This window comes from Homo sapiens, chromosome 1 (assembly GCF_000001405.40).
Source record: "Homo sapiens chromosome 1, GRCh38.p14 Primary Assembly".
Classification (NCBI taxonomy): domain Eukaryota; kingdom Metazoa; phylum Chordata; class Mammalia; order Primates; family Hominidae; genus Homo; species Homo sapiens.
Genome location: NC_000001.11, coordinates 40,013,905 through 40,041,233, shown reverse-complemented (window position 1 = coordinate 40,041,233; position 27,329 = coordinate 40,013,905). Strand labels below are relative to the sequence as shown.

General features: G+C 43.5%; 1 protein-coding gene and 1 long non-coding RNA gene across 28 annotated transcripts in view, besides 8 other annotated features; one reads left to right on the top strand and one right to left on the bottom strand.

Annotated features, from left to right (window-relative positions):
- Nucleotides 1-994, bottom strand: part of CAP1 (cyclase associated actin cytoskeleton regulatory protein 1) — a 32,409-nt gene extending 31,415 nt beyond the window's left edge. For 8 of the 25 annotated variants that reach the window (NM_001350478.2, XM_047431520.1, XM_047431420.1 and 5 more), the window contains exon 1: nucleotides 433-505. The gene's annotated coding sequence lies outside the window, so the exon portion shown is untranslated. Of the gene's footprint in view, nucleotides 1-90; nucleotides 209-432; nucleotides 506-766 lie in introns of those variants that run through there. The other 17 variants (NM_001350475.2, XM_011540515.2, XM_011540510.2 and 14 more) reach the window with 3 other exon arrangements.
- Nucleotides 206-295: an enhancer, noted in NCBI's record as "active region_827". NCBI's record gives its function as "activates an Ori minimal core promoter by ATAC-STARR-seq in GM12878 lymphoblastoid cells {active_cell/tissue: GM12878}" and the evidence as "EXISTENCE:reporter gene assay evidence [ECO:0000049][PMID:35858748]".
- Nucleotides 206-885: a biological region, named in NCBI's record as "NANOG-H3K27ac-H3K4me1 hESC enhancer GRCh37_chr1:40506053-40506687".
- Nucleotides 219-853: an enhancer, noted in NCBI's record as "NANOG-H3K27ac-H3K4me1 hESC enhancer chr1:40506053-40506687 (GRCh37/hg19 assembly coordinates)". NCBI's record gives its function as "activates a minimal SCP1, AML or CMV promoter by ChIP-STARR-seq in naive H9 embryonic stem cells {active_cell/tissue: H9 hESC(naive)}" and the evidence as "EXISTENCE:reporter gene assay evidence [ECO:0000049][PMID:30033119]".
- Nucleotides 366-565: an enhancer, noted in NCBI's record as "active region_826". NCBI's record gives its function as "activates an Ori minimal core promoter by ATAC-STARR-seq in GM12878 lymphoblastoid cells {active_cell/tissue: GM12878}" and the evidence as "EXISTENCE:reporter gene assay evidence [ECO:0000049][PMID:35858748]".
- LOC105378669 (uncharacterized) lies at nucleotides 788-27,329 on the top strand. 3 transcript variants are annotated; one of them, XR_001738013.3, is made up of 3 exons: nucleotides 788-2,343; nucleotides 3,083-3,137; nucleotides 26,165-27,329. It is a non-coding gene; the product is annotated as an uncharacterized LOC105378669 (long non-coding RNA). The 3 variants fall into 3 exon arrangements; XR_001738015.3 differs by having other exon boundaries at nucleotides 26,177-26,414; XR_001738016.3 differs by lacking the exon at nucleotides 26,165-27,329 and adding an exon at nucleotides 4,397-5,010.
- Nucleotides 816-885: an enhancer, noted in NCBI's record as "active region_825". NCBI's record gives its function as "activates an Ori minimal core promoter by ATAC-STARR-seq in GM12878 lymphoblastoid cells {active_cell/tissue: GM12878}" and the evidence as "EXISTENCE:reporter gene assay evidence [ECO:0000049][PMID:35858748]".
- Nucleotides 854-1,487: an enhancer, noted in NCBI's record as "NANOG-H3K27ac-H3K4me1 hESC enhancer chr1:40505419-40506052 (GRCh37/hg19 assembly coordinates)". NCBI's record gives its function as "activates a minimal SCP1, AML or CMV promoter by ChIP-STARR-seq in naive H9 embryonic stem cells {active_cell/tissue: H9 hESC(naive)}" and the evidence as "EXISTENCE:reporter gene assay evidence [ECO:0000049][PMID:30033119]".
- Nucleotides 20,359-20,588: an enhancer, noted in NCBI's record as "active region_824". NCBI's record gives its function as "activates an Ori minimal core promoter by ATAC-STARR-seq in GM12878 lymphoblastoid cells {active_cell/tissue: GM12878}" and the evidence as "EXISTENCE:reporter gene assay evidence [ECO:0000049][PMID:35858748]".
- Nucleotides 25,760-25,809: a silencer, noted in NCBI's record as "silent region_719". NCBI's record gives its function as "represses an Ori minimal core promoter by ATAC-STARR-seq in GM12878 lymphoblastoid cells {active_cell/tissue: GM12878}" and the evidence as "EXISTENCE:reporter gene assay evidence [ECO:0000049][PMID:35858748]".

Sequence of the window (27,329 nt, the reverse complement as noted above, 5' to 3'; positions counted from 1 at the left end):
GGTTATCTAAGGCACCAGGATCATGATTCCGATTCTTTTCCTCACTCGCTATATATCTCAGACTAGCCTCTTCTCTAGGGATCAATTTACCTATCAGTGCAATGGGAGCATCAACAGGAGACAGGGAAGACTCTCCGATCTCGGAGGTTCCTTCCAGTCAGAGCACCTCAGGAATCAGGCCTCCGCTGAAGCTGATGGGCAGCGCTGCGAAATCGGGCAGAGGGGCCTCCCCGGGGCACCCGGACTCAGCTGCTCACCCCGGCCCCACCTCAAGAGACCGCGCCCAAGAGTCCGGGTCGGCCTGAGGGCCTCAGCCCCGGCCCTCTCGGCAGGGTTCATGACACGCGCGTAGGCCAGAAGGGCCATTAACACCACCAGGGGCCGATGGGCCCCGGAAGGGACCCCAATCCCTACCAAGCTGCACACCCTCACCTCAGAGTTCCGCCTCACCTCCGGACTGCGATCAGCCGCTCTCCGCTTCCGGCAAGAACCGCCCAGCAATCTCCGCGCGACCCACTTCCGGGCCCTCACTGGGCGCGGCGCCCCCACCGGAAATGAGCCGCCGGCTGAAGCGCTAGGCTGGCCCGCGACTGGGCAGGAAGTCTCACCGCCCCGCTCGTGACTCCGCCCCTCTTCGCCACGCCCCGGAGAGAGCGGCCCGGCTCTCACAGAGGGCACTTGGGAAAGAGCCCCGCCCTCAAGGCGGGAGCGACACGGGGAGGGCGGGCTCACAAGAGAGGCCACGCCCTCGTTCCGCTTTACCTACCCGGAATCGCCCCCGAGGCCCGGGCCCAGGAAGGGCAGAAGTCCCTGGCTAAGCTCCTCTCTGGAAAGAACAGAAGAGTGACCAGTTCCTCTGTCAGTTTGGTCTCAATGGCAGAGGCCGGTTCCTTTAAGCTGCAGTCCGTAAAGGGTCTTGGAACGACTGGGGGCCAGGATTCTCTGAGGGCGGGAATCCGGGCGGCCGTCAGCTCTCGGTGGTGATCGAGGCCACGCTCCGCCTGTCTCTGGGCGTGCATACCTCGGTTTCCCCGTTTGTGACGTGGGAAGGCAATTAGTCTGGACATTGTTGTGGGAGGACTTGCGGAGACTGGGCGCAGGGCGTGGGGGTCAGTGAGGGCGCGGTGGGTCAGCCCCAGCCCGGCTGGCAGTCGCGGGGCTGGGAAGGTAGGGAACCCTCCGCTCTCACCCCACTTCCTGTTTGGTCGGTGTGTTCTGTGACCATAGATGGTCAAGTCTGGGGCCGCGCGGAAGCCTCCGCCCTGTGGTTTTGGAGCCCTTCCTCCCGGCGCGCAGGGTGTGGTCCCCGAGAATAAGATGAGCAGAATTAAAGCAGATCCTGCACCCACTCTGCTGAAATCCGGCTTCTGAGGCAGCCTCGCCCAGGGCTGGGTGGGCTCAGGCGGCTGCTACTCGGTTCAGGGGAGGTTACGCACGGTGGCTGCCGCGCGCAGGGGAGGCTTCGCTTCCGTACTCCTTGGGCCGGGAGATCCGATCTTTGTTCCCTCAAGACTCACACTCTCCAACCGGTCATTATCCTCCCACAAAGATTTATTTCTAGAAAAAATTGGCAAGTGCCACAGTTCCCGCCCCTTCAGCTGAACGACTGTGACAGCTCCGTGTTTCAAGTTGAATGCAGGCGTTATGTGCCAGAGTCAATCATTCAACAAATAAAGTTCTTAAAATAACAGCTACCATTTACTGCACGCTGACTACTTGCCAGGCCCATGCTGAGTTCTTCAAGCGTATTTTCATTTACTCCTAATAGCAACTCTCGGTGGTAGGTACCATTATGCCCTCTAGTTTTCAAATGAGGAAGCTGAATAACTTGCCAAGGTCAGAAAGTAACTGTTGAAACTTTGAAGGAAACACATCTGTCTGACTCTAAATCCCATGAGCTTAATTAGCCCCTGTGATAGACCATACTGCAGACATTTGAGGCAGATTTGAGGTGGTGAATGCCTCTGGATCTGGAGACACTGGGTTCCAGTGCTGGCATAGGCCCTCTACTAGGGGTCAGACTTTGGTCAGGTTACTTTGGACGGGTTACTGGGCCTCTTCCTAACTTTATGGCTCCCAGCATGTTTAAAAGAACATGACAACATGAAAAAATATGGTATAAAAGTCATAGTATATTTTAAATATTGACATTTAACTAAAAACACTGTCTCACACACACACAAACTCTAACTTTATTTGGACATAATCTTTGACTCTGCATTTAGTTATTCTAAATCTCTTTCTGGATTAGAGACAGAAGGAACATAGACCATACACGCATTCTAGAGGAAGAGGAGAGAGAAGAGGAAGCAGGAAGGAGAATGAAGAAAGTTTCCTCATCAGGTGGGGAATATTAATGGGGCTGTAATGAGAAACGGAAGCAGTAATGTATGTGAAACCACTTTGTAAAATGCTTCATTATAAAGAATGCACACACGACTTAAGTTACAACCCCTGCCCTAAGGAATGTCCAGTCTTTTAAGAAGTCTAGATCCATGCATTTGTAACTCCAGTAGGAGATGGGAAGATAGTTTAAGAATATCCGTCACATGAAGGGCTGGGCGCGGTGGCTCACACCTGTAATCCCAGCATTTTGGGAGGCCGAGGCGGGCAGATAACGAGGTCAAGAGATCAAGACCAGCCTGGCCAATATGGTGAAACCCCGTCTCTACTAAAAAATACAAAAATTAGCTGGGCGTGGTGGCATGCGCCTGTAGTCCCAGCTATTTGGGAGGCTGAGGCAGGAGAATCGCTTGAACCCGGGAGGCAGAGGTTGCAGTAAGCTGAGATCGTGCTTCTCTACTCTAGCCTGGCGACAGAGTGAGACTCTGTCTCAAAAAAATAAATAAAAGAATATCTGTCACATGTATTTATGCACTGAAAAAAAACTATTGAGCTACATAGTAGCAATTATTGGAAGAGTTCAATAATTGCTATGCTACTTTGTACCAAGCACAACTAGGGATCCAGCAGTGGACAAGTCAGACCCTGTTACTGCTCTCATGGAGCTTACAGTCTATTTTGGAAATGATATTTCCATTTGGAGTGGTCATCAGAAGATACGCTGCCTTCTGTCTTCCAGCTTTTTCCTCCTCGCTGATCTTGCCCCTTGTCCAGTACCCAGTGCTTCATCCATGGTGAGTTCTCATCTAGCACATGTTCAGTGAGTGCCTTGAATTCAGAATAGTCATTTCCTAGGCAGAGATGGACAGATAGATCCTTGCAGAGCAAACATGAATGAACAGTAGTGGAGATGGGAATCTGTGCTGGACTGAGGTGAGAGGTTCCTGCAGGAGAAAAGTAGGAGATAAGGCTGAAGAAAAGGAGGTTGAGCAAACTATGCTAGGCAAGAGAGGTCAAACCTTAATGTGAAAGCGAGGAGGCACTAGTCATACTGTATTTTAGAAATAAAAATCTAGCTACAGTGTAGGGCATGGCCTTCAGTGGGCAACAAAAGAGGCAGGGAGAACTGCTAGAAGATAAGCACAAAGATCTAATAAGAATCTGAATCGGCCAGGCGCGGTGGTTCACACCTGTAATCCCAGCATTTTGGGAGGCCGAGGTGGGCGGATCACCTGAGGTCAGGAGTTCGAGACCAGCCTGGCCAACATGGCGAAACCTCATCTCGACTAAAAATACAAAAATTAGCCAGGCATGGTGGTGGGCACCTGTAGTCCCAGCTACGTGGCCGTAAACCCAGCTACTCGAATCTGCTGAGGCAGGAGAATCACTTGAACCCAGGAGGTGGAGGTTGCAGTGAGCTGAGATCACGCCACTGCACTCCAGCCTGGGTGACACAGCAAGACTCCGTCTCAGAAAAAAAAGAAAGAAAAAGAAAGAAATTTGTATTATTTATAAATTACCCAGTCTAGGTATTTTGTTATAGCAGCAGGAATGAATTAAGACACATTCTCATTCAATACTGCTTTTCCTTCCTGGCAGGTATTACAATCCTCATTCATTATTTGTGCACTTATCTTTTAATAGCTTCCTCTCCTGTAAGTTGCTTCCTCCCAATAAGTCCTTGTTTGTCTGGCACAAAATTGATAATAAGTATTTATAGTAAAAATTGACTAAATGAAAAGGGTGAGAGGGGCCAAGTTGGCTCTGAGACTTGGCATGTGGGGAAATGGAAGGTGTAAAAAGGATTGGATCTGGGTTTGGGGGTTTTGAGCCTCAGTCCTCAAAATCCAGCCTGGGAAGAGAAGGAGAAGAAAGAATTCAATTAATCAATTTACAAGCAAGAATTGCCAGCAGAGAGTTGATTGATTCTCACACATTCCCCCTCTTCATGTATTATTGCCACTTTCTTATGGCCTGGATTTCAGCACATTCTGAACCTGCAGAATCACTTTGTCTCTGAGGGAGCCACCCAAGTTTCCTCTTTATCTCTCAGGGTTTCAGACACAGAAGTCTGGCGGTTCATCTGGAGCCTTTCCCAGCCTGACTCAGAGGACTGCCTGCATCTGTGCAACCTGGCTCAGAGCCTGTCTACGTTTGGGCAGAGCCTATATCCCCCTGCCAAACGGGCTAATGACAGACAACAGTCTATGTGACCCTATCTTTCTTCCCCTCCAAGGGTATGGCCCCAGATTTCAGCCTCAGATAGGGGATCAGGCCCAAAAATTAGGAGTTGGCAAAAGAAATAGCCGCAATATAGAAATATGATTAAGATCTGGCTTTGGGGTCACTCTGAAACTGAATCCCAACTCTGCCAACTGTGTGATCTTGGAGTTATCCTCATTTAACCTCAGAGGATATATTAATAGCCGTCTTAAATGGTTGATAGGAATTAGGACAGAAAACTAATAAAACACTTGGCTCACAGTAAACACTCAATGAGTAGTAACAATTATTATTAAGTATAGAGAATCTCTTGTCTGTTTCCCTGGCAAAGGCCATCAGAAAGCAAAATAAGGTCTAAAGTGTCAACATACTGGATGGTGCCACCAGAACTACTACTACTGTCCCCATCCCCAGAAAGTTTTCCCACAGTTCCTGCTTCTTTGTATTGCTAACTTTTTTTTTCTTTTTTTTTTTTTGAGACAGAGTCCTGCTCTATCACCCAGACTGGAGTGCAGTGGCATGATCTCAGCTCACTGCAACCTCCACCTCCCAGGTTCAAGCGATTCTCCTGCCCCAGCCTCCAGAGTAGCTGGGATTATAGGCACACACCACCATGCCAGGCTAATTTTTGTATTTTTAGTGAAGGGGGGTTTCACAACATTGGTCAGGCTGGTCTCAAACTCCTGACCATGTGATCTGCCCGCCTGAGCCTCCCAAAGTGCTGGGATTACAGGTGTGAGCCACCGTACCCGGCCTTCTTTTTTTTTTTTTTTTTTAAGACAGAATCTTGCTCTTAGCCAGGCTGGAGTGCAGTGGTATAATCATAACTCACTGCAGCCTTTAACTCCTGGATTCAAGTGATCCTCCCACCTCAGCCTCCGGAGGAGTACCTGGGACTACAGGCACATGCCACCATGACTAGCTACTTTTTGTATTTTTTGTAGAGCTGGAATCTTGCTATGTTGCCCAGGCTGGTCAGGAACTCCCGGCCTCAAGCAATCCTCCTGCCTTGGCCTCCCAAAGTGCTGGGATTACAGGCATGAGCCACTGCACCTGGCCTGTATTGCGACCTTTGGACTCAAAGTTAGGCCAGGTGTGGTGGCTCATGCCTGTATTCCCAGCATTCTGGGAGGCTGGGGTGGTAGGAACACTTGAGCCCAAGAGTTCAAGACCAGCCTAAGCAACATAGTGAGACCTCATCTCAAGGAAAAAAATTTTAAATAAAAAAACCCACAAAAGCAAAATTGGGCCTGTGCCCTTGGCTGTAAATGAGACCAAATAAATCAGTTACGAATGTGAATGCTTTTGCCCACAGATAACAGAAAACTTGACTGTAGTCACCTTTTTAAAGTCAGTTTTTCTCACATACAAGAAAAATGAAGGTAGGCAGTTTTACTGGCTCAGTAATGTCAGAGCTGATATTTCTGCAATTCACTTCACCTTACCCTTGTGGTTGCAAGTTGGCTGTTGCAGCCCTAGTGCCATCAAATCAGGTTTAAGGGACAAGGAAAGAGGAAGGGGAATGTGCAGCGTTTGAAATGGGAAAGCTGACATTTTCTAAGGAACCCACAAAGCATACCCTGCTTCCTGTCTCATAGCCAGATCTAACAGCAAATACTTCAGCTTGTTTGCCCCTGAGAGGAACACAGATGCATTTCACGGTGTTTTTGAGGGCCCCTAGAGGGCCTAAGCCCAGTTATCCATAGCAGTAACCACTCATTAACAAACCCAAGTTAGCTTTTCTCCTTTCCCTAACTTACTTGTGTTAGGGAATCCAAATTAAAGAGAATGGAATTGGCTGAGTCTGCTACACGCGGAAAGTGACAGTGAGCACTGCCAGCTTTGATAGTGTAAGGTGCGTGCTCACTGTCTTGTCTCTCTGTCTCTTATGTTTGGGATATTGTCCAAACATACAAAGGGGTTACAGATTCTGAGTGTACAATAAGAATGATAGGTGTCCACTATAATAAACACTTGTGACTGCCTGACATCGAAATACACCCTTCTTTCTCTACTTACACTTCAAAAAACAAAACAAAACTCCAAACTGAAACAACCCTCCCTTTTATAACCTAAATTGTACTCACTATACTCACCTTCTACCCCCCAAAAAGAAATTATCTCAAATCCTCATCAGTAACTTCATCCAGCAACAAGTCCAGGATCTCTGAATCATGTTCATTCTTTCTCCAGTTCATAATAATCCTGCCTCAATAGTCTGTATGGACTGAACTTTATTTATTTATTTATTTATTTATTTATTGAGATGGAGTCTCACTCTGTCACACAGGCTGGAGTGCTAAGGCTTGATTTCACCTCACTGTAACCTCTGCCTCCCAGCTTCAAGCGATTCTCCTGCCTCAGCCTCCCGAGTAGCTGGAATTACAGGCGTGTGCCACCATGTGGACTGAACTTTAAAGTTAACCACTATAACGTGCCACACCCTATATATATTCATGGGAGAAAGGGAAATGAAAGGAGAAGAAAATTCAATACAACATGTAGATACTTAACTGGCTTGGCGAAAAACTTTCTGTAACTGATCACAAAGCCTTAGTTATCTTTGACTTCATATATCCACTACCCATTCTATATCTTCTTTGTCTTCAGCCAGCACCTCAGTTCACTAGTGTCATAGAGATGGAAAGAGAAAGAGGCATGAAGAAGGCATGCCACTGTCCTAAACATCCTGATCTAGAAGTGGGAAATATTAATTTCACTTACATTTCATTGACTAGAACTTAATCATATAGCTTCTGTTTGGGGCTATAACTGAGTTTCCTATAGGTGACCAAACCCTCTTTCTTGTGGGATTGGAGACCTTGGTGGTCCATCCTGTATAATGTTTTCACAATTTTCCATTAATTTTTAGCACCGGATTTAGAAGAAGTAGGAGGTACCCCTAGTATTCTTTGGGTTATATGCATAATCCTACAAGCTATTGTATAGTGACATTTCTCTTTTACCTTGAAAATAGACCCATTTACCTGAGCTAACCATCATAACCGGTGCAGGTTAAGTTTAACATCAGGCTGTCCATGGGAGATAGCCCTGATTTGTAGCAATTGGCAACTTTTGTGGTGTAAATACTCTCACTACAATCAATTGCAAGCTACCAAGGTTATGTCACTGAATGTAGAGTTGAGAAAAATGCACTGTGGTATGCAGAACTATTGTGCTCCAAAGGTGTGCACATCCTAATCTTTGGGACCTGTGACTATCTTACCATAAATGGGAAAGGGGACTTTGCAATGTGGTTAAATTAAGAATCTTGAGATGAGGAGATTATCCTAGATTATCCAGGTAGGCCCATCCAGGTAGGCCCAATGTAATCACATGGATCCTTGTAAGGGAAAGAGGGAAACAGGAAAGTCAGAGTCAAGAAGCTCAGAAGTCAGACAAAGCTCAGAAGTCAGACGAAGCTCAGAAGAAGCAATATTACAATGAAAGCAGAGGTCACAGTGATGTGACCAAGGCCACATTTTCCCCTAGAGCCTCCAGAAGGAGCACTGTTGAGCTGTGGCGTGGGGGCAATGGTATTAAAAGGATAATGGTATCGGCTGGATTTGTTAATGGCTTCTGAAGTCTTGAAAAAAGAAGTAAGATCTGGCTGGGACAGGTGGCTCACTCCTGTAAACCTAGCACTTTGGGAGCCCGAGGTGGGTGGATAACCTGAGGTCTGGAGTTTGAGACCAGCCAGGCCAACATGGCAAAACCCCATCTCTACTAAAAATACAAAAATTAGCTGGGCATGGTAGCACATGCCTGTAATCCCAGCTACTTGGGAGGCTGAGGCAGGAGAATCTCTTGAACCCAGGAGGCAGAGGTTGCAGTGAGCCGAGATCACACTACAGCACCCCAGCCTGGGTGACATAGTGAGACCCCCATCTCAAAAAAAAAAGAAGTAAGATCATGTTAATTATCAACTCCAGTATGGAAGTCAACTCTGGCTGGAGTGATACACTGCACAATTATATATTTATTTGCTTCTCCTTCATCAGCCACTTCTTTCTGTCGCTTTCCCTGACTTCTCTGCTGCATATGCCAGTTCCTAAAAGTCCAGTCTTAGTTATTATCTTTATTCCAATGCCTCTCTGGTATGTCTGCTATCCTTTTATGTAGCTTTAGTTTCTAGAACATCTTGCTTCAACTCCGCTCAATAACATTGGACAATGTGCCAGTGAGTCACCACAAGATGGCAGCCTTGCTAATTTTGGCTGCACTGAATTCAGTTATTCATTCCTTCAAGTTGGACGGATAGGGGAGGTTCTGAATAAGACTTTAATCTTACTTATTTAACATTTCTTGAGAGCTTGCTCAATAATGGGTCTTTTAACATATTAGTGTTTTGTCTTTTAATGGTGAAAGCTAGGATTATCCCCTTTGCAGATTAGAAAACTGAAGTTGAAAATGATTAACTTGTTCAAAGTCAGGACCTAGATTTGAAACCAGAGTTTTCTGAGTCCAGAGCCAGTGTTCTTTCTATTACATAACTGAATCATAAGCTGCAACAGTATTGTTTAAGGTTTTTTTTTTAAATTATAAGTAACAAGCTGGGCATGGTGGCTCATGCCTGTAATCCCAGCACATTGGGAGGCTGAGGCTGGCGGATCACTTGAGGTCAGGAGTTCGAGACCAGCCTGGCCATCAAGGTGAAACCCTGTCTCTACCAAAAGATACAAAAAATTAGCCAGGCATGGTGGCTTGCACCTGTAGTCCCAGCTACTCGGGAGGCTGAGGTGGGAGGGGAATTGTTTGAACCCGGGAGGTGGAGGTTGAAGTGCAGTAAGCCAAGATCATGCCACTGCACTCCAGCCTGGGTGACAGAGTGAGACCCTGTCTCAAAAACAAAACAAAACAAAATAAAATTACAAGTAACAGAAAACCAACTTGAGCCAGTTTAACAGCAACAACACAACAAAGTATTTGCAGTACCTCATGGAAACTTGGGATAGAAATGATGCCCTGGCTTTAAAAGAGAGAACAGAGATAGGGATTGGAAAGCCTTCAAGGTGTGGGGGAAGAAAGAAAGAAAAATGGGGAAAGGAAAGGGAAAGGAAAAGCTGGGGAGGCCCAAGAGATTAAGTTCTGTCCCATCCCCCATTTAACTAGACTGGCTTCATTTTAATGCATTTTACGTATCAGGGCCCCATGCAATGTATTTACTTGAAAATTAAGGATTCACTACATTATTATTATTATTGAGACAGAGTCTTGCTCTTTCACCCAGGCTGGAGTGCAGTGGTGCTATCTTGGCTCACTACAACCTCCATCTCCCAGGTTTAAACGATTCTCCTGCCTCAGCTTCCCAAGCAGCTGGGATTACAGGCACATGCCACCATGCCTGGCGAATTTTTGTATGTTTTATAGAGATGGGGTTTCACCATGTTGGCCAGGCTGCTCTCGAACTCTTGGCCTCAAGCGAGCCATTCGCCTCAGCCTCCCAAAGTGCTGGGATTACAGGTGTGAGCCACCATGCCCAGCCCTAGGGATTTTTTTTCTAATTGTTCACTCTAATAAGTAAAATTATAATGAATATGTTATCATGTTGCCATAGGCAGTACATGAAATCATAAAGTAATTCCATTTCCCCTGACTCTTACAAGTTTTCTTAGGGGAGCATGGGGGTGGGTGTAGTCACAGACAGTTCTGGCCTGTGGCCAAAGTCCAGTGCTACTTAAGTCTTCCCTCGCTGTGCCCTAAGACCGCAAATATTTAGTAAGCATCTAACTGCATGCCAGGCACTGCTGAAAACTGTGGATACAATGGTGAATAAAACAGGCACAGTCTGTCATCTTGGAGCTAACAATCTAGTGACAAAGACAGACACCAAACAGATACTGTACTAAATAATTACAAGAATCATAAGCAAAGTGCTGCCAAACAGAAGTTCAGAAGTATAAGGAAACACATAACAGGGCGAGCTGATTTAATCTGGAAGGATTAGGGCAGGATGCCCTGAGGAAATGCTATTTAATATGAGATCTGATGGATGAGTATGAATTAGCCAGACAACAGAATAGAGCAGAGAGGAAAAGTATGAAGTCCCAAAGGTGAGAGACAGCATGGTAGGTTCAAGGAATTGAGAAAAGATTAGTGTGGTTGAGCACAGAGAATAAAAGGAAATGAGATGAGACTGAGGCAAAATAAATAGCAGGGTCCAGATCATGCACAACCTGTGTGTTATATTAAAGATTTTGAAATCTATTCCAAGGGAAGTCACTGAAGGACTTTAAACTGAGAACATGCACGGTCCTATTTGTGTTTGAACAAGAACATTCTAGCCATAGCATGAAGAAGGGCCAAAGTGAATGCAAGGAGGCCAGAGAAGTTAGCTGTTGAAGAAGTCCAGGCAAGAGATGATGATGGCTTGGACTGCAGTGGCAGCAGTAGGGATGAAAAGAAGTGGACAGATTTAGCCGGGCGCGGTGGCTCACGCCTGTAATCCCAGCACTTTGGGAGGCCAAGGTGGGCGGATCACCTGAGGTCGGGAGATCGAGACCAGCTTTATCCGCAAGGAGAAACCCTGTCTCTACTAAAAATACAAAAATTAGCTGGGCATGGTGGTGCATGCCTGTCATCCCAGCTACTCGGGAGGCTGAGGCAGGAGAATCGCTTGAACTTGGGAGGCAGAGGTTGTGGTGAGCCAAGATTGTCCATTGCACTCCAGCCTGGGCAACAAGAAAGAAACTCCGTCTCAAAAAAAAAAAGAAAGAAAAAAGAAAAAAGGAGTGGACAGATTTGAGAGTGAGTGATCTAGGAGGTGGAAATGACGGAAGCTAGTGACTGATCTTTTATGGGTGTGTGTGTGTGTATGTGAGAGAGAGGGAGTAGTCAAGTGGACTTTTAGTTCTCTGGTTTGAGCAGCTGGGTGGATAGTATTTCCTTACAGACACTGGGAGCACTAGAGGATGAGGAAGTTGATGGTAAAAGGTGATAAGTTCTGTATGAGACATGTTCAATTTAAGGTGTCTATGAGATTTCCTGAATACGCAGGACTGAAGTTCAGAAGGCAAGTCTGGCCAGAAGGTGTGGACTTAAGAGTTCCAAGATTTTTTTTTTTTTTTTTTTGAGACAGAGGCTTGCTCTGTCACCCAGACTGGAGTTCAGTGGCACAATCTTGGATCACTGCAACCTCTGCTTCCAGGGTTCAAGCAATTCTCATGCCTTAGCTGCCCCACTCTCACCCCCAGTAGCTGGGATTACAGGTGCATGCCACCACGCCCAGCTTTTTTTTTGTGTGTGTGTGATGTAGTCTTGCACTGTTGTTCAGGCTGGAGTGCAATGGTGCGATCTCAGCTCACTGCAACCTCCACCTCCCAGGTTCAAGCGATTCTCCTGCCTCAGCCTCCTGAGTAGCTAGGATTACAGGTGCCCACCATGCCCAGCTAATTTTTGTATTTTTAGTAAGATGGGGTTTCACCATGTTGGCCAGGCTGGTCTCAAACTCCTGACCTCAGGTGATCCGCCCACCTCGGCCTCCCAAAGTGCTGGGGTTATAGGCATGAGCCACCGCACCTAGCCCTAATTTTTGTATTTTTAGTAGAGACAGGGTTTCACCATGTTGGCCAGGCTGGTCTTGAACTTCTGGTCTCAAGTGATCTGCCCACCTTGGCCTCCCAAAGTGCTGGGATTACAGGCATGAGGCACTGCACTTGGCCGTGGAGTTCTAAGATTGAAAGAGTACAGAGTGAGGCAAGAAAAGGGTCAGCCAGAGCTCTGCACAGAGCTATACAAAGAGTTAGAAGCCAGAAAAGAAGATTGAAAAGGAGCAATTAGAGAGTTAGCAGAAAGTCAGAAAACTACATGGTCCAAAAAAGCCAAGGGAAGAAACATTTCAAAAAGGCAGTGGATACCTGTACTAAATAAAATAGAGTGATCACATAAAAAGGATTAAAAAGTATCCATTGGATTTTAAGACATGGTGGCCTTTGGCGATATTTTCAGAAGCATTTTTTGCAGACTGGTAGTAGGCAGAGACTAGATAAAGTGTAATGGGAAGTGGGAGGTGAGAAAAGGGGGAGAGCAGTGTAGGTTACGCTTAAAAATTTTCCTCTGAGAGTGGACAAACAAAAGCAGTTGAAGGGAAACTTATTAACCCAGCTCTTCAAGCTAAATATTGAAGAGTTGAATTTGATTCGACTCTTCTATTCCTCTTATGTCCCGTTTCCAATATATGAGCAAAGACCATTGGCTCTAACTTCAAAATATATTCTGAATCTCTCTACTTACTCATTTTCTTCACTGCTACCTACTCCAAGCTACCATCATCTCTTGCCTGGACTATCTTAAGAGCCTCTCAATTTATCTAATTGATCTATCTCTGCCATTTGTTTCCTACATATCAAATATATGAATTAACGAGGCAACTTATTTGCCTCCTATACACATCCTACATACAATGGTGGGAAAGGCTAGAGTTGCTCTACAGTTGCTCCCATGGCTAGAGTTGCTCTAGAGTTGCTCCCCTTCAAAACAAGGGAAAATGGGAGGCATACAGCAGAGACAACTCTGAAATCCAACTGATGTAGGTTGATTAGAGCTTAGTCCAATTGCCGGAGAGTTGTTCATTGTGGTTTCAGCTCCAATATCTGGGCTCTTGGTTACACTCTGAATCATCCTTCCTTTTCTATAAGAAAATTGAGTTTGTATCTGAGTAGCCTTCTCAGCCTGATTCCTCCCTATAAAAGGCATCTTTCCATTTTGTACTGTCTATGTCCCCATTAGTCCTAGCTGATAGATGCTTCTGCCAGAGCAATTCTCTTAGAAGCTTTGTGGGTTCCTTATGCATGAATTTATTATCCACTCCAACAAAAGCTACTCTCATAAATCTCTTTGAGATAAGCACTTCCTTCCCTTGAGAGACTGCTCCAAAATGTCCTTAAGATCTTTGGAGAGACTTTTTTTTCTATCAGATGGATTCTATAAAGCATCCTATAAAGCATTCTATAAAGGTCTTAACCTTTAACTTCTTTTTTAGATAATATTTTCCTGACAGTGTCTTGGATTTTACTTCTGCCCAGAGCCATTTCTTAACTTTAGAATCATTTACCATCTGGAGAGGCTGACAGTGAAAACAGTTTTATTTTCAAGCCAAGCCAAGTAAGTCCTGGTCCTAGATATAGATATGTGTGTGTGTGTGTGTGTGTATATATATATATATATATACACACACATATATATACACACATATATATACACATATATATACACATATATATATACACACACATATATATCAGCTTTATTGAGATATAATCCACATACCATACAAGTCTCCCATTTAAAACATACAATTCGATGTTTTTAGTATATTCACAGAGTTGTACAACTTTTACCATGATCAATCTTAGAACATTTTTATCACCCCAAAAAGGGACCTGGTACCCATTAATGGTCATACTCTGTCCCCCCTCACCCCTGCCACCTCTGTCTTAGTCTGTTTGTGCTGCTACAACAAAATACATGAGACTGAATAATTTATAAATAGTAGACATTTCTCACAGTTCTAGAGGCTTGGAAGTCCAAGATCAAAGCACTGGTGTTTGGCATCAGGTGAGGACCTTCTCACATGGCAGAAGAGATGGAACCCACCAACTCAAGCCCTTTTATAAGGGCCTTAATGCCATCCATGAGGGCTCGGCCCTTATTAGTCATCTCCTAAAGGCCCCACCTCTTAATACTATTACATTGGTGATTCAGTATCAACATATGAATCTTGGGGACACATTCAGAACACAGCACCCCACAACTCTCCCTGCCCAACCATAGGCAATCACTAATCTACTTGTCTCTATAGATTTGCCTATTCTGGGCATTTCATATGTTAAATAAAATGTATGGTCAGGCACAGTGGCTCACCTACCCAGCTAATTTTTTAAATTATCTGTAGAGATGAGGTCTTACTATGTTGCCCCGGGTGGTCTTGGGCTCAAGCAATCCTCCCTCCTCAGCCTCTCAAAGTGGTAGGATTACAGGTGTGAGCCACTGCACCCAGTCTTATAAATTGATTTTTTTTTTTTTTAAAAAAAGACAACTCAACCATCTGCAACAATAGGGGCTATGGTTCATCCCCCTAACCTCACTCATTCAGGTTTCTCCTCAGGAAGAGAGGCCTGTGAGAGCTGTAGAGGAACTTCTCTCCAATGATGTGGGGCAGGTGGATCTTGGCAGTGCAAGGGATGGGCTATGTGACCAAGGGGTGGACTGTGTGCACAATGTCTTACATCCACCTTCACAAAGAGAATCTGCTGTGAGGTGTAGAGGTAACTGCCGTACCTCTGGGATTTGCCACAGCATTCTTGCCAAGGCACGCTTTCCCTGGATTCATCCCAGCCAATGACCGAGCTCCAGGGCATACTACAGCTGGGCCATTTCTGCCTTATGTGGGACTCCTTCACTGGGCAATCAGCCTGGCCAAGAGTTTTTTCAGAGCTGCACTAACACTCGGAGCCTCTTCCTACCCAATCCTCCTTCTTTCCTTCTCTCCTCTCACGGGTGTCAGTCCTGCACCATGGCCTGAAGATTCTCCCTGTCTACTCCTGCTGCTTCTTATCTTTTCACTGCCATTTTCCACTTGAACTTTTTTCTTTTCTTTTTTTAGAGGCAGAGCCTTACTCTGTCACCCAGGCTGGAGTGCAGTGGCTCAATTATATCTCATTGTAACCTCGAACTCCTGGGCTCAAGCCGCCTCCCGTCCTCAGCCTCAATCTCTTGAGTAACTATCTGCCTTGAACTTGTGAGAGGACTCAAATTTATGCAGCTTTTAGCTGTTTCTAAGAAAAAGTTTGGTATGGGTGCTACCATAATGAAAGCCTAAAATGTGGAATTGGCTTTGAAACCACCTGGCTGACTGAGGCTGGAAGGACATTGAGGTGTGGCATGGTGGCTCACGCCTGTAATCCCAGCACTTTGGGAGGCTGAGACAGGTGGATCACCTGAGGTCAGGAGTTCAAGACCACCCTGGCCAATATGATGAAACCCTGTCTCTACTGAAAATAAAAAAATTAGCCGGGCGTGGTGGCAGGCACCTGTAATCCCAGCTACTCAGGAGGCTGAGACACGAGAATTGCTTGAACCTGGGGGACAGAGGTTGCAGTGAGCTGAGACTGCACCACTGCACTCCAGCCTGGGCAACAGAGTGAGACTCCATCTCAATAAATAAATTAATTAATTAAAATTTACAGGAGGCCATTGATTTGGACTAGGCTCCTGCACTCAGCCTAACAGACCAAACCAATGGAGTTTAACTACAGTGACTGAGCTGGGATTATAGGCATGCACCACCACACCCAGCTAATTTTTGTATTTTTAGTAGCGATGGGGGTTTCACCATGCTAGCCAGGCTGGTCTTGAACTCCTCACCTCAGGCGTTCCACCTGCCTTGGCCTCCCAAAGTGCTGGGATTACAGGCATGAGCCACTGCACCCAGCCTATTTTCTACATGATTTTGCAATGGCTTTCCAGCTTAAAATTTAGAGTCAATTTGTTCATATAAAGAGGATATCAAGTACCAATATCCTAAAATATTGACAAACTATTAAGTGTAAAACTCCCCCAAATTCAGTTTAATATGAAACATACTACATGTATCATAGAATTTTCAAATATCTCATGTCACATTAATAAAGAAAGGAAAAATTGGGTTACTGTTGCCAAAGATGTCACAGATAGTATAGAATTCTGACAGACAGGTCCAAGACAGGGAAGCAGTTTAAAACAAAACAAAACAAACAAACAAAACAGGTTTGACTTAATAGGTTATACTTAGAAAATGTTAGCCAATATTAGAGTACATATATTTTTGTCAAGAATTTCCATGGAGCTTTTATAAATATTGACCATGCTCCAGGTTACAAAACGAGTCTCAAACACCAAAGAATCAGTATACTTACCGCATTGGGTGTCTCATTATAACTGGAGGACAGTAAGAACAGTAACAGCAACACCTTAAAATACCCTGTATGTTGGAAAAACTTTAAATATAGTTACTGCTAAACTGATCAAAGAAGACACCATACAAGAAAGTATCAGAAAATACTTAGAACTGAATGATTTTAAGAGTGCTATATTGAAATTTATAGGATGTACTTAAGGAGAAATGCATAGCCTTAAGTGCTTATATTAGAAAAAAAGATAGGCTGGAATTTAAAGAGCTAAGCTTTAAAGTCAAGATGTTAGACAAAAATCAACAAAGAAAGCAGAAGTGGCCAGGCATAGTGGCTCACACCTGTAATCTCACCACTTTGGAGGCCAAGGCAGGAGAACTGCTTGAGGCCAGGAGTTCGAGACCAGCCTGGGCAGCATAGCGAGACCCCCAATCTCTAGAAAAAAATTTAAAAATTAGCCAGGCATGGTGTCTCAGTCTTTGCTACTTAGGAGACTGAAGCAAGAGGATCACTTGAGCCCAGGAGATCAAGTCTGAAGCGAGCCGTCATCACGTCACTGCACTCTAGCCTGGCAACAGAGCAAGACCCCATCTCTAAATAAATAAATAAAACAAAAAAAAAAAAAAAGGAAAGAAAGTAGAAGTAATGAGATAATAAAAATGAGAGGAGAAAAAACAACAGGAGAAACTAAGCAGAAAACAAATATATGTGATAAAAGAGATTGACATAACCAAATGTTGGTTCTTTGAGAAAAGTAATAAAATAGACAAACCGCTGGTGAAATGATGAAGAAAAGTACAAAAAAAAAAGAAGTAAAAAAGAGGACATACTACAAGTACAGCAGACACTGATGATATACATATTTAAAGACTGTCTACCGCAGCCTGCCCTCTGGCCAACACCATTCACGTCCATTCCATGTGCAAAATATACTCACTCTCCTCCCAGGACCCCCAAAGTCTCATCCCACATGGTATCAGCTTGAAGTTCACAGTCTCATTACCTAAATGAGGTCTAGCTGCAGATGAAGCTCTTCAGGCGTACTTCCTTGAGTGTGGGTTCCTCTTGATATGAAGACCTGTGAAATACAGTCAAGTCATCTGTAACACAAACACAACATCCAATAGTCATATGAGGATAGGAAAACTGCAATAAATGCTCCCATTCAAAAGGGATGAACAGGAGGCACATAACAGTCAGTGTTCCATAGTAATTCTGAAATCCCAGATTTCAGAATGCACATTTCCATGTCCTTAACTGGGACCCAATCCTGCTCCTTGGGAGTGATTCTCTGTGGTTCTGAGTTCTGCCTTCTGGACTCTTGGCTCTTCACTTTGAATCATCATTCCGTTTCCAGAAAAAAAGTCTTATATTTGCTGCTGTGTAGCTTTTGAAGCCTGCTTCTTGCCCATAGGAAGTTCTGAGTTCCAAGGGTTTTTTTTCATTTTAAACTATTCTTTTTAGTTGAAGCTGATGGTGCTTCTACATATGCAATTCTCTTAAATTATTATGAGTTTCCTATGAATCTTATTTGAGTTCTTGAAAGCCAAAGTCACAAATGTTTTCAAGATAGGTCCTTCTCTGCCATAGTCTGAGATTCAGTGTGCTATAGGAAACATCCTTAATATTCTTTTTTTTTTTTTTTGAGATGGAGTCTTACTCTTGTCTCCTAGGCTGGAGTGCAATAGCGCGACCTCAGCTCACTGCAACCTCTTCCTCCCGGGTTCAAGTGATTCTTCTGCCTCAGCCTCCCAAGTAGCTGGGATCACAGGCACCCCCATGTAGTTAGCTCCTGCCACCATGCCCAGCTAATTTTTGTATTTTTAGTAGAGATAGGGTTTCATTATATTGGCCAGGCTGGTCCTGAACTCCTGACCTCAGGTGATCCGCCTGTCTCGGCCTCTCAAAGTGCTGGGATTACAGGCGTGAGCCACCACACCTGACCAAGATTCTTAAAAGAGTAGAAAAAGAGTCTATGAAGCATTCTAACATTCTTAGTAGCCCCTCATTTACTTGAGAACATCTAACAGATGCTTAAAACTTAAAACTTTCTAAAGTCTTAAAAAGTCTTACAGCTGCACTCTTGACTTCATCTTAATACTGTTCTTCCAGGCCGGGCGCGGTGGCTCACGCCTGTAATCCCAGCACTTTGGGAGGCCGAGGCGGGTGGATCATGAGGTCAGGAGATTGAGACCATCCTGGCTAACAAGGTGAAACCCCGTCTCTACTAAAAATACAAAAAAAAATTAGCCGGGCGCGGTGGCGGGCGCCTGTAGTCCCAGCTACTCGGGAGGCTGAGGCAGGAGAATGGCGTGAACCCGGGAAGCAGAGCTTGCAGTGAGCCGAGATTGCGCCACTGCAGTCCGCAGTCCGGCCTGGGCGACAGAGCGAGACTCCGTCTCAAAAAAAAAAAAAAAAAAAAAAAAAAAATACTGTTCTTCCTTTGAAAAACTTCTATTTTATTTTAAATTTTTATTTATTTATTTTTTAGATGGAGTCTCGCTCTGTCACCCAGGCTGGAGTGCAGTGGCAGGATCTCAGCTCACTGCAACCTCTGCCTCCCGGGTTCAAGCGATTCTCCTGCCTCAGCCTCCTGAGTAGCTGAGATTACAGGCACATACCACCATGCCTGGCTAATTTTTGTATTTTTAGTAGAGATGGGTTTTCACCGTATTAGCCAGGATGGTCTCCATCTTCTGACCACGTGAATCCCCCCGCCTTAGTCCCCCAAAGTGCTGGGATTACAGGCGAGAGCCACCGTGCCCTGCCCCTTTGAAAAACTTTTGATGGCTAAAAAGATTGTCCTGAGCACTTTATATACCCTCTAAATTCTTCTAGAAAGCAGAATCATTTCCTTGTTAGATTATCTTTCTCTTCTTGTACCTTACCATTGACTGCTAAAAGACACCAGTCGGCACTTTGAACATTCCACCTAGAAATCTCCTTAGCCAAATTCACCAGTACATTAAGTATACTTTCTATTTTATGTTTTACCACAGGTGACATTCTTCAAAACATTTTGCTACTACATAAAAATAGTTGCTTTTTCTCCAGCCTCCAATAACAATTTCCTCCAATAACAGTTTCCTTCAAATCTTCACTAACAGTCTCCTAAGGCCCTTCAGCTTCCAACAACTACCTGGTCCTAGGTCACTGTCCCATGTTTTAGGTTTTTGTCACAGCAGCATAACACTACTTGTATCAATTTCTATTCCAGTTACCTATTATTACCTTGGTGCAAAAGTAATTGTGGGTTTTGTCATTAGTTTATTATTATTATTATTATTTTTGAGACAGAGTCTCGTTCTTTGGCCCAGGTTGGAGTGCAGTGGTGTAATCTCGGCCCACTGCAACCTCCACCTCCAGGGTTCAAGCAATTCTCCTGCCTCAGCCTCCCAAGTAACTGGAATTACACATGCCCCCCAACCATGCCCAGCTAATTTTTATATTTTTAGTAGAGACAGGGTTTCACCATGTTGGCCAGGCTGGTCTTGAACTCCTGACCTCAGGTGATCCACCCGTCTTGGCCTCCCAAAATGCTGGGATTACAGGTGTGAGCCACAGCATCGGCAGGTTTTTGTCATTACTTTTAACGGCAAAACCCGCAATAACTTTTGCACCAACCTAATACTATTATAATAACAATCTATACCCAACTTCGTGACTTAAAACAATGATTTATTATCTCTCATGCTCAGTGGGTTGACTGAAGTCAGCTGAGCAGTCCTCACTTGGGGTCTCATGTGATTAGCATTTGAAGGTGGCTGGGGCTGGAGCCATCTGAAAGCTTCACTGGGCTGGATATCCAGAATGGCTCATTCACATAACTCGAAGTTGATGCTGGTTCTCTGCTGGGAGCTTAGTTAGGACTGTCAATCAGAGTGCCAACAGGCAGCCTGTCCATGTGGCTTAGGATTCTCACATTCTAGTGTGTGGGTTTCTGAGGAGTGTCTCAAGAGCAAACATTTCAAGAGATCCAGCTGGAAGTTACAATGTTTCTTGTTATCTAAACTTGGACGTTTCAGAATGACTCTTCCTCTGTATTTTTTTTTTTTTTGAAGCAGGGTCTTTCTCTGCTGCCCAGGCTGAAATGCAGTAGCACGATCATGACTCACTGCAGCCTCCACCTCCTGGGCTCAAGTGGTCTTCCACCTCAGCCTCCCAAGCAGCTGGGACTACAGGGGTGCACTACTATGTGTGGCTAATTAAAAAAAACAAACATTTTTTATAGAGTTGGAGTCTCACTGTGTTGCATAGGCTCTCTGCATTCTATTGATTAAGCAAGTTAGCATTCACTAAGTCCAGCCCGTATGCAAGAAGGGTAACTCCACATCAGAGGGGAGAAATTGGTGATGTTTATAGCTGGTGACAATCTACATCATCAATTTAGAGATTATTTTATCCACTTCACAAAAGTTACCACGTTTATAACTAGGATTGTATTAAATGTATTAATTTCAGTAGACTGGACATATTAAATCTTCCCATCTAAGAATGGGAGACAGGCTGGATGTGATGGCTCATTCCTGTAATCCCAGCACTTTGGGAGGCTGAGGCAGGCGGATCACTTGAGGTCAGGAGTTCAAGACCAGCCTGGCCATCATGGTGAAACCCCATCTCTACTAAAATTACAAAAAAATTAGCTGGGAATGGTGGCAGGTGCCTGTAATCCCAGCTACTCAGGAGGCTGAGGCAGAAGAATCACTTGAACCGGGAGGTGGAGGTTGCAGTGAGCTGAGATTGTGCCACTGCACTCCAGCCTGGGCGACAGAGCCAGACTTCATCTCAAAAAATAAAATAAAATAAAATAAAATAAAATAAAATAAAATAATGGGAGATGTTTTACTACTTGTTTAGATTTTGTTTTATAATTTATGGTTAATCTATGACAGAAACTTCTCTTTTGGAACAAAAATGTAAAAAAAAAATAGTACTGTGTACACTTGGAGCATTTGCTAGAGTTTCTCTATGAGACTGCATTGTATAGGTTTATGATTTCTAATTATGCCCAAGAAAATTCAAAAATTATAGAATAGATCTATTAGAATCATTGTAGAAGTAAATGCCTACATGAATGTGAATTATGGGTGATGGCTAAAGCAGTGGCTTAAAGCCAGAAAAATCCAGCAATTTCTGGATTTTCATTCATTCATAAGTTGATTGAACCAAGAACGTCATCTCTCCCTACTGAATCTGCCTCCCTTCTCCAACCCCACAAAATTAAACAAAAGCCAGATTATTGGTCCTAGATGGGTACTTTGTGAGGGCAAAAATAAGTAGTCTCTATCATGTTAATTATCACTACCATTCAATGAGTAACTACTATGTGCTAGGTAATGGGTAGATATTTTGCACTTATTATCTCATTAAAGATTAAATTAGGCCAGTAGGCCAATAGAACAAAATAGAGATCTCAGACATAGACCCATGTAGAAATATGGGAATTTAATATACAGTTAAAGTATACTACAAATCAATGAGAATATGACTCAGAGTCCAACCAGGAAAATATGTCAGTTAAGGTGCAACCAGGAGACAGAAACCATACAGTAATTTGAACAGGAAGGGCCGGGCGTGGTGGCTCACGCCTGTAATCCCAGCACTTTGGGAGGCTGAGGTGGGCAGATCACAATTTCAGGAGTTTGAGACCAGCCTGGCCAACAGAGTAAAACCCCATCTTTACTAAAAATACAAAAATTAGCTGGGCATGGTGGCAGGCGCCTGTAATCCCAGCTACTCAGGAGGCCAAGGCAGGAGAATTGCTTGAAACTGAAAGGCAGAGGTTGCAGTGAGCTGAGATCACGCCACTGCACTCCAGCCTGGACAAAAGAGTGAAACTCCGTCTCAAAAAAAAAAAAAAGTTTGAACAGGAAAGTTTAATACAAAGAACTTTTTTTTTTTTTTTTTTTTGAGATGGAGTCTTGCTCTGCCACTCAGGCTGGAGTGTAGTGGAGCGATTTTGGCTCACTGCAGCCTCCACCTCCCAGGCTCCAATGATTTTCCTGCCTCAGCCTCCCATATAGTTGGGATTACAGGTATGCGCCACCACCCCCAGCTAATTTTAGTATTTTTAGTAGAGACAAGATTTCACCATGTTGGCCAGGCTGGTCTCAAACTCCTGACCTCAGGTGATCTGCCCACCTCGGCCTCCCAAAGTGCTAGGATTACAGGCGTGAGCTACCACACATGGCTACAAAGGACTATTAACTATAACAAAATAGAATGCCCAAAGAAGAGTCCCCCCTCCCCCACTCTCAGGGCTGTGCTCCAAAACGTGTTGCAGAGGGAGTACCTCTTCACTGGATGGTGGAGAAGTTGCTAAGGTGTCATATCAGTGAAATTTGCTAGAAATCTACCCAAGAGGAAGCCAGGGGGAGTTGGAGGACACTGAGCGATGCTGGCTGCTATGTGCTGTAGGAGGCAGGTCTAGAGAAGCCATGTGGTACTAGCTCAGTGCCACAGAAACTGCAAAATCCTGCAATCCCACATACTGCAAAATCCTGACGAGATGGAAAGATAGAAGAGGAGAAACTCATTTTCCTCTGTGTCCCTTTAGCACGGTCTTACTGACAAAGCTTTGTATCATGCCCCTGGCAAAGGAGAAATATTTAAAGGGTCCATCTTGATTTTTGCTGAGCAGGCAATGAAGGGTAGATTTGGAACTGTAAGGCAATACATTGAAAACTGGCAAAAAGGCTGATTGGATTGTATAATAAGAAAGCGTTTGATAAATAGGATCACTATATGGAGAAAAATAATACCAGATCCCTATCTAACACCACCTATATAAGTGAACTCCAAATGGCTTAAAGACCTAAACATAAAAGGTAAAATTATGAATTTAATAGAAAAAAGTAGGAAGATATTTTTATAACCTAGGGACAGGGAATAAACTTTTTTAAAACTTAAAAAAGTATAACTCAAGGTAAAAAATTAATGAATTTGATTATATAGAAATCAAGATAAAACTGCTGGTTAACTGAAAATCAAAAAAAGGAAATTAAGATTTTTGGTTCATTGAAGGACTATGTGAACAAAGTTAAAAGATAGATGATGAACTGGCGAAAGATACTTGCCATTTATAATATCAATAAAGGATTATTATCTAGAGCAGAATTTAGCAAACTTTTTCTGTAAAGAAACAAACAGTAAATAGAAAAATAAAGAATAAAAAAACCCAGTAAATATTTCAGGCTGGCTTTGTGGTCCAGATAGTCTCTGACACAGCTACTCCACTTTACTGTTGTAGCAGGAAGGCAGCCATAGGCAATAAGTAAGTGAATGGGTGTGAATATGTTCTTTTTTTTCATTTCTTTTTTTTTTTTTGAGACAGAGCCTTGCCACGTCACCCAGGCTGGAGTGCAGTGGTGCGATCTCGGCTCACTGCAACCTCTTCATCCCAGGTTCAAGTGATTCTCTTGCCTCAGCCTCCCCAGTAGCTGGGATTACAGGTGCACACCACCATGCTCAGCTAATTTTTGTGTTTTCTTTTTGTTTTTTTTTTTTTGAGACAGAGTCTCACTCTGTCACCCAGGCTAGAGTGCAGTGGTGTGATCTCAGCTTACTGCAACCTCCACCTCCTGGGTTCAAGTGAGTCTCCTGCCTCAGCCTCCCAAAGTGCTGGGATTACAGGCATGAACCACTGAGCCCGGCTGGGTGTGATTGTGCTGTAATACAACTTGATTTATAGAAACTGGAGGCAGGCCAGATTTGATCTAGGGGGCCATAGCTTCCTGGTCCCTGACCTAGGAAAGAAAAGGAAGTCCTGCATATCAACCCCAATAATAGAGCAGAAAAATAGAGCAACCCCAATTACAAAAAAGAAAAAAAATGGAAAGATTTATGAGTAGGCAATACACAGGAGAGGAAATGCAGAAGGATAGTAAGCAAGTGATGAGATGCTTAAATGCAATTACAATCAGAAAAATGTAAATTAATAATCTAATCTGATAGCAAAAATTAGAGATATGACAGTGATATTTGTTGGGGAAAGAGGAACTCCATGGTGGACATGAAGACTGGTGCAACCACTTTAGAGGGCAGCATGGTGGTACATAGTCAAATAGTGTGTCTGTATACTTAATGATCAAGCAAATCGGCTTCCGAGTCAGTATCTCAATGAAATTCCTACCCAAGTCCATAAAAGTTCATGAACTAGAATCCTGTAATCCCAGCACTTTGGGAGGCTGAGGCAGATGGATGACCTGAGGTCAGGAGTTTGAGACGAGCCTGGCCAACATGGTGAAACCCCATCTCTACTAAAAGTACAAAATTAGCCAGGCTTGGTGGCATGCACATGTAATCCCAGCTATTCGGGAGGCTAAGACAGGAGAATCACTTGAACCCAGGAGGCAGAGGTTGCAGTGAGCCAAGATCATGCCATTGCACTCCAGCCTGGGCAGAAAAGAGCAAAATTCCATCTAAAAAAAAAAGAAAGAAAGAAAGAAAGAAAAGAACTAGAATCTTCATTGAAGCATCATTTGTGTTTTGGAGGAGCAATAATTGTGGAAACAATTTGGATTTTCATCACTTAGAGAATAAATCTATAAAATGTGTTGAAGGTACACCATGAAGTACTATACAGCAATTGGAACCAATGAATTAGATGTACACTTAACAACATGGATAGATCTTGAACTTAAAAACAGTGCTGATTTTAAAAAGTGATAACAGAATACATAATAAACACAAGTCACTTTATTTATTAAATTTAAATATTTATTAAATATTAAATTTAAAATATTTGCACGTAAAATATGTTTTGCAAGACACAAATACCAAGATACATATTAAACACATTATAGTGGTTGTCTATCGGGAGAGAAAGGAAGTGGGCTATGGAATGAAAGGGAATATGTGTGTGTGTTTGTGCGTGCACGTGTGCACGCGTGTGTGTGTGTACATATATACACACATACACATAAGAAATTTAACAGGTTTATTTTTCATACAAAGCTGGTTTGTGAATTAAAACAATTAATTTGTTTTCTTTTCCTCATGGCTTGGTTTCAGTTATTTTCTGTATGTGCATGTGTGTGTGTGTATATATATATATTCCCTTCATTCCATAGCCCAATTCTCATATATACACATATATGAGACAGGGGGAGAAGTGGAAGAAGAATTGCATGGACCAATGACAGTAATGTGCCATGAAATGCAGAGAACAATTAACCACATCTGAGGTTAAAATTAAAACAACATATAATATAAAAAGCCAGATAATACGAATTTTTTTTGAAGGAGTAAAGAAAGCAACTTCATAGGGAGATAAACCTCAGCAGAGCTATGAAACCCTCCTCAATTCTTCGGACTTGGGACTGGCCATCCCCACAGGCTTACATGTAAGAGCGTGCTGAGTAGCATCTGAGTCAGTATGAGAAACATCTGAATAACAATGTGTAATGCCCGCTTGAGGTTACCAAGGTTTGAATCAGTATACTCTAAATTCTGAATGTATATGGATGATGACTAAATAAGCGCAGGTCATATCTGAATCAGCCTACCCAGTCCATAGTATCCAATATACATAGCATGATTCCCTAAAAATGTTATTATATATTAGTATATGCATACCAAAAAAAGGTGGAGGACTTTGCTATAAACTATTGACAGAGTTGTTGGTGAGAAATGTGTGGCAGAGACTGGCCAAAAGTTCAACAAATCTGTTTCCTCTTCCGCCTGGCCACTCATCAGCTTACATTTCTCAGTCTCTCTTGCAGATAACTATGGCCGTGTGCCTGAGATCTGGCCAATGGAATCGTGGACAGTTCTCCATGCTCTTTCTCCTTCTGTGGCAACTCTGAATGTCGTGTGTTCAAGATGAAGACAGAAGATAGAATGACCTTGGGTCTCTGAATCATTGCTTGGAGAAGAGCAATTTACTGATCAGTGGTGTGAAAATAAGTAATTCAAAATCTAAGCTATTGGGCCAGGTGCAGTGGCTCACGCCTGTAACCCCAGCACTTTGGGAAACCAAGGCAGGTGGATCATTTGAGGTCAGGAGTTCGAGACCAGCCTGGCCAACAGGGTGAAACCCCGTCGCTACTAAAAATACAAAAAATTAGCCGGGCATGGTGGCATACGCCTGTGGCCCCAGCTACTTGGGAGGCTAGGGCACGAGAAACACTTAAGCCCAGGAGGCGGAAGTTGCAGTGAGCCAAGACTGCACCACTGCATGCTAGCCTGGGCAAGAGAGCAAGACTCTGCCTCAAAAAAAAAAAAAAAAAGAAAAAAATCTAAGCTGTTGGAACATTAAATTATTTTGAGCTTTAAAGAAATGTGTTTATGAGACTTGAGTCATGTGACAGGCAGCTGTAACCTAGGAAACTGTAAACATTTTTTCTCTGATTATAGATTAGCCTCCTTCCTTATCTACATAATTTTGTAAAATGTTGTAAATGACTAAAGGGTACTTCCCTTTAGTCCCACTTCACTGCTGATCTTCATTGCAGATTAACTTCCTTCCTACCTCTCTCACACAAAGCCTTCATGACTGTTACATTATATACTCTTTTAAATTAGAAAATAAATGAAACCAAGCCACAAGGAAAAGAAAACAAATTAACTAATTGAATTGTTTTAATTCATAAACCAGCTTTGTATAAGAAATAATCCTGTTAAATTTCTTTGTTTTCTTCCTTTATAAACAAGACCTTAACTTTTGACATCAGAGCACGGACCCCATTTCACTGACCCCATTTTCACGGAATAAACGCCTTAAAAAAATTTTTTTAATAGAAACAGAGTCTCACTTTGATGCCCAGTCTAGTCTTGAACTCCTGGCTTTAAGCAATTCTCCTTCTTGGTCTGCCAAAGTGCTGGAATTACTGGTGTGAGCCACTGTGCCCAGCCTGAATAAACTCTTTAAAAATG